General features: G+C 46.7%; 2 annotated features.

Annotated features, from left to right (window-relative positions):
• Nucleotides 3,257-4,456: an enhancer, noted in NCBI's record as "P300/CBP strongly-dependent group 1 enhancer chr14:55574032-55575231 (GRCh37/hg19 assembly coordinates)". NCBI's record gives its function as "activates an origin of replication core promoter dependent on BRD2, BRD4, P300/CBP, MED14 and CDK7 cofactors, with strong dependence on P300/CBP, by STARR-seq in HCT116 cells {active_cell/tissue: HCT116}" and the evidence as "EXISTENCE:reporter gene assay evidence [ECO:0000049][PMID:35650434]".
• Nucleotides 3,611-3,710: an enhancer, noted in NCBI's record as "active region_8426". NCBI's record gives its function as "activates an Ori minimal core promoter by ATAC-STARR-seq in GM12878 lymphoblastoid cells {active_cell/tissue: GM12878}" and the evidence as "EXISTENCE:reporter gene assay evidence [ECO:0000049][PMID:35858748]".

Below are 7,834 nucleotides of genomic sequence, written 5' to 3'. Positions count from 1 at the left end.
CCCAGCTACTGAGGAGGCTGAGGCAGGAGAATGGCTTGAACCCAGGAGGCAGAGGTTGCAGCCTGGGTGACAGAGCAAGACTCTGTCTCAAAAATAAAATAAAAAAAGATATAATGAATCTTTGGGTTGGCCGCACTGGGAACTCTGAACACACATTCAGGTGCATCTGCCATACAGGGTCATTCTCAGGGTAGGCTTAAGTTATTACTGTCAGGTGCTTCTGCCACGCACAGGTGCATCTACCATACGCCCCACCCCAGCACGCCCTTGAATAGCTCTCATAGTCTCATCACATTCCCTGGGGCCAGATATACAGAGGAGCACTGGCACCAGCGCAGCAGCAACACAAACCACCACAACAAAAAGAACAATGAATACGACAGAAGGTTCTCCCAAGCTCTTGGGAGCTCATCTTGGATGTGCCACAGCAAGCCCCTGGTGGAGGAAAGGGGCGGCTCTTTGTAGGCTCAACAGTCCATTTTGTCCTGAAGAGAAGCCACCATCTGTGCCCAGTTGGACCGTTGCTTGTGCTGTGAGCTCAGCCTCTATGGCTCCTTAGAGCATGGTCCGAAGCGGCCAGCCAACTACAGCTGCCACAGCTCAGGAATCTGAGCCTTGCTCAGTCAGATCTACCCCCTGCAACTACCCTTCCAGACCTTTCAGTGTTTGCAGAGCATCCCTGTACTCACACATTAGGCCCAATCCATCAAGGATAGCGGCTCTTGGGCCCCATATAGACATGGACAGCCAACCTGGGATTTCCCCCTGCAGATCTCCCCTTTTCCAATCTCATCATCTGGGGCTTTTCTCCCACCTCCTGCTGGGCTCACCACCTATCATACTGGACCCCATTAACTCCAGTAGGTCAGGATGTTACTTTTGGGACTAGAAAAAAATTAAAAATTTAAAATATTTTAAAAATTAAAAAAAAAAAAAACTTCCAGTGGGGATGGTGCCATGTCTGAGAGGCCAAAGAAGAGACCCAGCGAATGAGACATAGGGTTATTTTTTTGTTCTTTTTCTTTTTTTTTTTTTCACTAGAGATGGGCCTTGCTATATTGCCCAGGCTGCTTTCAATCTCCTGGGCTCAAGGGATCCTCCTGCCTCAGCCTCCCAACGTGCTGGGATTATAAGCAGGAGCCACTGCACACAGCCAACATAGAGTTTATTGAAGGGCACTTACATAAAGAGTGGTCTGATGGAGGTGAACTGGACAGGAGAATTGCCACTGCTTGTAAAAATGCATGCAGTTGGCCAAGCGCGGTGGCTCACGCCTGTAATCCCAGCACTTTGGGAGACCGAGGCGGGAGGATCACAAGGTCAGGAGATCGAGACCATCATGGCTAACACGGTGAAACTCCATCTCTACTAAAAATATAAAAAATTAGCCGGGCGCAGTGGTGGGCGCCTGTAGTCCCAGCTACTTGGGAGTCTGAGGCAGGAGAATGGCTTGAACCTGGGAGGCGGAGCTTGCAGTGAGCCGAGATCGTGCCACTCCACTCCAGCCTGGGCAACAGAGAGAGACTCCATCTCAAAAAAAAAAAAAAAAAAAAAAAAGCATGCAGTTTATATAGCATTTTCACTTAACACCCATCCCCTGACAACCACCACCTGGCAACCTTCACTTAAACCAACACAAAGGGCCTTGATCCCCTCTACAGCATTCCATGGTCAGGACAAGAGCTCAGATGTTCCTTATAGATAAGGAATGAATCTCTGAGTTGGCATGCTTGGGACTCAGCATACACATTCAGGTGCATCTGCCATACAGTGTCATTCTCAGGGAATGTTTAGGTTATTGCTGTCAGGCGTGTCTCCCATACACAGATGTGTCTACCATACAGTTGGTCCTATCTTTTTTTTTTTTTTTTTTTTTTTTTTGAGACAGGATCTTGCTCTTTCACCCAGGCTAGAGTGCAGTGGTGTGATCATAGCTCACTGCAGCCTTGAATTCATGGGCTCAGGCGATCTTCCCACCTCAGCCTCCTAAGTAGCTAGGACCACAGGTGTGTGCCACCACACCTGGATAATTTTTTATATTTTTTGTAGAGATGGGGGTCTTGCCATGTTGCTGAGGCTGATCTCAAACTCTTGGCCTCAAGTGATCCATCCACCTCAACTTCCCAAAGTGCTGGGATTACAGGCAAGAGCTGCTGCTTCTGGCTAAGAGCTAGTCCTGTCATTATTACAAATTTACAAATAAAGAAATTGAAACTGGACTGGCCACAGTGGCTCATGCCTGTAATCCCAACACTTTGGGAGGCTGAGGCAGGTGGATCACCTGAGGTCAGGAGGTGGCTCATGCCTGTAATCCCAGCACTTTGGGAGGCCAAGGTGGGTGATGGCTTGAGCCCAGGGCTTCAAGACCAGCCTGGGCAACATGGTGAAACACCATCTCTACAAAAAATACAAAAATTAGCCAGGTGTGATGGTGCACACGTGTATCTCAGCTACTTGGGAGGCTAAGGTGGGAGGATCCCTTGATTCCAGGAGGTGGAGGTTGCAGTGAGCTGAGATCACGCCACTGCACTCCAGCCTGGGTGACAGAGAGAGATCCTGTCTCAAAACAAAACAAACAAGCAAAAAAAAAAAAACTCGGCCAAGTTCACAGTTAGTAAACGACAAAGTTGGAATATGAAGCCAGGCATCTTCTTGATCACTCCTAATCACTATAGTGTACTACTAATTACCAAGAAATAGACAATAACAAAGGTAGCAAATAACAAGGCAGGTAACCAAGCATAGTCATCAGTGATGTCGCACACTGTGAGTGGGACCAGGCCTCTCATAATCCTGCTTCCCTAATTTCTTCTTAGAAGCTCTAGTGGGACTCAGCCGGAAGCTGTGGCTTATGCCAGTGATCCCAACACTTTAGGAGGCCAAGGCAGGAGAATCATGAGGTCAGGAGTTCGAGACCAGCCTGGCCGACATAGTGAAACCCTGTCTCTACTAAAAATACAAAAATTAGCTGGGCATGGTGGTGCACATCTGTAGTCCCATCTGCTCAGGAGGCTGGGGCAACAGAATCGCTTGAACCCGGGAGGCGGAGCTTGCAGTGAGCCGAGATGGTGCCACTGCACTCCAGCGTGGATAACAGAGTGAGACTCCGTATCAAAAAAAAAAAAAAAAAAGAAGCTCTAGTGGGACTTATATCTGGAAAATCCCTCTCCCACTCTCTCACGGCCCACAGGATTGGCTGCTGGAGTCATAATTTCTCATGTTAGCCTGGAGTGAAATTGGATTACCCTAGTTAGGGACCTTGCACCCAGCAGCGTCTTTCAGAACCTCCTCCCCAGTGTTCATGTGGTTAGGGACTGTTCTACTCAGCAGTTGCCCAGCAGTTGCTTTAAGTAGACAGGCTGTTGTCTGGTGACTCATCTGGGGCCTCAGGAGGCTTCGTGGACGGCAAGCTGCCTTCTGCTCCCTTGCTCCTCTCCCCTCGCCCTCCTCCGTGGAAGTCCTGCCAGGAAGCCCATGGTCCAGCTCACGTCTTTGCTCAGGTGCCTCTGCCATGTGTTACCTAACTAGGGCTAAGGCTGGTTCTATCCTACTTCAGACAGTCCAAACAACTCTGAACTTCATTTTCCAGCAGCTGAGTGGCCCTAGGACCCAGGGCCTGTCGGCCTTCTCCTGTGCCTCCACCCGCCCACGCTGACCACTGTCCTACAGGTCAGAAGCAACCACTCCCACCCCCACTCCCCGCCTCTCAGTAGGTCTCTTCTCACGGCAGAAGGCCCCAGTGGCCTGCTCCGCTCAGGGATCCAAGCCTGCGGAGGACTGAGCCAGGGCTCCCCAGCTCACGCCTGCAGCCTCGTGCTGCTGCCTGATGACTCATCCTCATGCCCATGACTTCCTCCCACGCTTTATTTCAGGAAATTACTTTGGAGAATGACCTCGATTTTTTTTTAAACAATAGAAAAATACTTTTCATCTACAGGGAACAAGCGACAATCCCCAATGCTATTAACTGTTCCGACCCCTGCAAAAGAGGCTTTATAAAACCAGGCTAACAAGGACAAGGAAGGGGCAAATAGGGCTGTCCTGGTGAAAGTGGAAGAACGTTAACCATTTTGCTTCAAATAGAATAGGAAAGGAACAAGGGCAGTCAAGAAGAATGTAAACCTGAGAGAAATCGCATGTTAAGAGAAGCTCATCCAGCTACTTGAAGTGCCATCAAGTCTCTATGCCCAGACAAATTATGTCCTTGGGTGTGGGTTGCAAATTTTTTAGTAGTGTAACTTTTTCAGATAAATCTTAGAAGAACTCTAATTTAAAAATACCGGCCAGGCGCAGGTGGCTTACGCCTGTAATCCCAGCACTTTGGGAGGCCAAGGTGGGTGGATCACCTGAGGTAGGCAGTTCAAGACCAGCCTGGCCAACATGGTGAAACCCTATCTCTACTAAAAATACAAAAATTAGCTGGGCGTGTTGATGGACGTCTGTAATCCCAGCTACTCAGGAGGCTGAGGCAGGAGAATTGCTTGAACCCGCGAGGTGGAGGTTGCAGTGAGCTGATCGCGCCACTGCACTCCAGCCTGGGGGACAGAGCGAGACTCCATCTAAAAAAATAGACATAAAAATACCAAGGAGGCCGGGCGCAGTGGCTCACGCCTGTAACCCCAGCACTTTGGGAGGCTGAGGCGGGCAGATCGCTTGAGGCCAGGAGTTCCAGACCGGCCTGGACAACATGGCGAGACCCCACCTCTACAAAAACACAAGAATTACCTGGGTGTGGTGGTGGGCGCCTGTAATCCCAGTTACTGGGGAGGGTGAGACAGGACAATCACTTGAACCAGGAGGTGGAGGTTGTAGTGAGCCGAGATCAAGCCACTGTACTCCAGCCTGGGCAACAGAGTGAGACTCTGTCTCAAAAAACAATAAAAGATAAAAACACAAAAGAAATAATTTATGAATCTACATTTAAGTTAAAATTCATTTAGCATTCACTTCTCATAAAGTCAATCTATGAGAAAAATTACCATTTTGATGAACACCAAAATTTGAAATAATACAGGCATAACCATTGCAATCTTTTATCAAGCTCAGCATTTAATTTACTTCATATTGTTTTAGTTGCAAAAGATAAACACATATTTAAAAACAGCTTGCCTTGTCATTTATCTCATCTTAAAACTGATCCAATTTGGAAAAGGAATACCAGAACGTTTTTTAACTTTCAAAGTGAATTATTAAGACCACTGAAGCTGGATGCCATGGCTTATGCCTGTAATCCCAACACTTTGGGAGACCAAGGCAAGAGAATCACTTAAGTCCAGAAGTTTGAGATCAGCCTGGGCAACATAGTGAGACTTTGTGCAAAAAAGTTTATAAATTAACTGGATGTGGTACTTGGGAGGCTGAAGGTACTTGACCTCACTTGAGCCTGGGAGGTCGAGGCTGCAGTGAGCCTAGATCGTGCCACTGCATTCCAGCCTGGGTGACCAAGGAAGACCTTGTCTCAAACAAACAAACAAAAAAAGACTATTAAATTTCTTGTCCTAAATAAAAAGTTGGACACAAAACACAAAATACTCAAAACTTTTCATAAGCAGTAGAGCCTCAGGGTGGGTTACACATCGCTCGTGAATGCACAACTGAGGCATGACAAGAATATGAACCAAAAATCCTGAGCCTTGTGCAGCAGTTGTCTTCTCGGGAACATTGTCGCAGGAACAGATAGAAAAGGCCAGGGCAGACCCCTAACCTTCCTAATCAGTGGCACAACTCAGTAATTTTTGATGATGGAAGTAAGAATAGTAACAAGAGGCGGTGCTCTTGACTTGGAAGGGACACAAGGAAACTTTCCAGAGTGTTGGACACTGTCTATATCTTGTTATACGTAGTGATTATATGGAGTATATATGTGGGAAAATTCATGAGCTATACGCTTAAGAATTGTGCATTCTGCTGTAGATTAATTATACTTCAATGTCCTGTTAGCTGAAAGAGTCAGTGAAAGAGAGAGGGACAGAGAGAGAGGCAGGGAGGAAAGAAGGAAGGGCCCAGAAAGCTTCAATCCAAGATTTGCTCAAAAGACTGCCAGCAAAAGTTATGTGCCAGCATTATTATAATTTGGTACCTAGCACAGCAACACATTGTGTTTTCAGTTATAGGTTTTTAAATTTTTTTATTTTCATTTTTGTTTATTCTTTTGAGACAGAGTCTCTTAAGCCTCCCAGGTTCAAGTGATTCTCCTGCTTCAGCCTCCCAAGTAGCTGGGATTACAGGTGTCTGCCACCATGCCTGGCTAATTTTTGTATTTTTTTTTTTTTTTTAGTAGAGAGGAATTTCACCATGTTGGCCAGGCTGGTCTTGAACTCCTGACCGCAAGTGATCCACCCGCCTTGGCCTCCCCAAGTACTCGGATTACAGGCATGAACCACCAGGTTAAAGAAAAAAAATTTTTTTTAATGGAGGCTGGGTGCAGTGGCATACTCCTATAATCCCAGCACTTCGGGAGGCTGAGGCAGGAGGATCACATGAGCCCAAGAGTTTGAGACCAGCCTGGCCAATACAGTGAGACCCCCATCTCTAGTTTTAAAAAATAAAAATAATAAAATAATAAAAATAATGGAGATAGGGACTCCCTACATTGCTCAGGCTGGTCCTGAACTCCTGGGCTCAAGTGATCCTCCCACCTCAGCCTCCCAAAGTGTTGGGATTATAGGCATGAGCCACCATACCTAGGCTGTTTTTAATTATAGTTAAAAAAAATTTTTAAATCAAATCCAAGTATATTTAAATATAAAATTCAAATCAAATGTATTAAAAAGATGAAATTCAAATCACCAGTGACCTCACAATCACTCCTGGCAGTCTTCAAGAAATCATGGAAAACTGAAGAAGTGGTAGGTGACCAGGGATGAACAAATGACCTGAATGTCGAACCAGTGGAAAAGTCAAGCACAGCATGCCTGGTCCCATGGAGAACACACAGGCTTGATGAGTAGATAGCAACCTAGGTTCACATCCTAACTCTGCCAGTTACCTGAGGTCCTGCAACTAGCGCCTTGCCAAATCCACAGCCCCAGTTGCCTTGTCTGTAAAACGGGTACAAGGCCATCTGCCTCAGAGTTGGTGGCAGATTGAGAAGATAGCTAAAATTTCCAGTACAGTTAGCCAGCCCCCAGCCAAATGTTAGGTTTCTTTTCTGCTCTATTCCATAATGCTATACAATATGCTGGATTTAGAGAGGATATGCCCGCCTTCAGGAAGGCATGCCTTCTGACTGTTTTTCCAGAGGCAAAGATGAATTTTTATCTCACCATCCACAACCACACGTGGCCCTCATTGCTTGAATGAGACATTCCAGATGTCAATGATACCGTACACAGGCCCCTGATAGAAGCATTCCACACAACTGGAGGTGCTAGCCATCCTTGCCTTGTAGAGAAAATGATCAGAATGTGAGTGGAGCAGGCCAGTCACCCTACTTCCTGCTTCCACCACTATAGGAGCAGAACATAAATGTGTCAAAGAAGGGAAGGAGCTGCTCTTGCCTTGCTGGGTTTCTCCTTCCTTCTCTTTTCTGTTGCTCCCAGCCCAGCTCAGGAAGTAGGAGAAAAATAACCAAAGGCAAGGAGACAGAAAGCATCTATTTCCCCATTCTTTGACCACAGGAGTGAAAACAAGTGTCTCATTGCTAATTAAATGTCAGGTTGGTGATGTCCTGGTGGGGTGGTGTGTACACTTTGGAGACAGGTGTGGCTGTCACACCAGGGTGTTAGTCTCAGTGTTTTTCAGTGGAAGCTCCCCAACTTGATCTGTCTGAAGCATTTACTCATAGGGACCAGAATTTAGGTCTCAGGGTCCAGTGTCCCCTTTCAGATCATGA

Source organism: Homo sapiens, chromosome 14, assembly GCF_000001405.40.
Source record: "Homo sapiens chromosome 14, GRCh38.p14 Primary Assembly".
NCBI lineage: Eukaryota > Metazoa > Chordata > Mammalia > Primates > Hominidae > Homo > Homo sapiens.
This window is presented reverse-complemented; position numbering and strand designations above follow the sequence as displayed.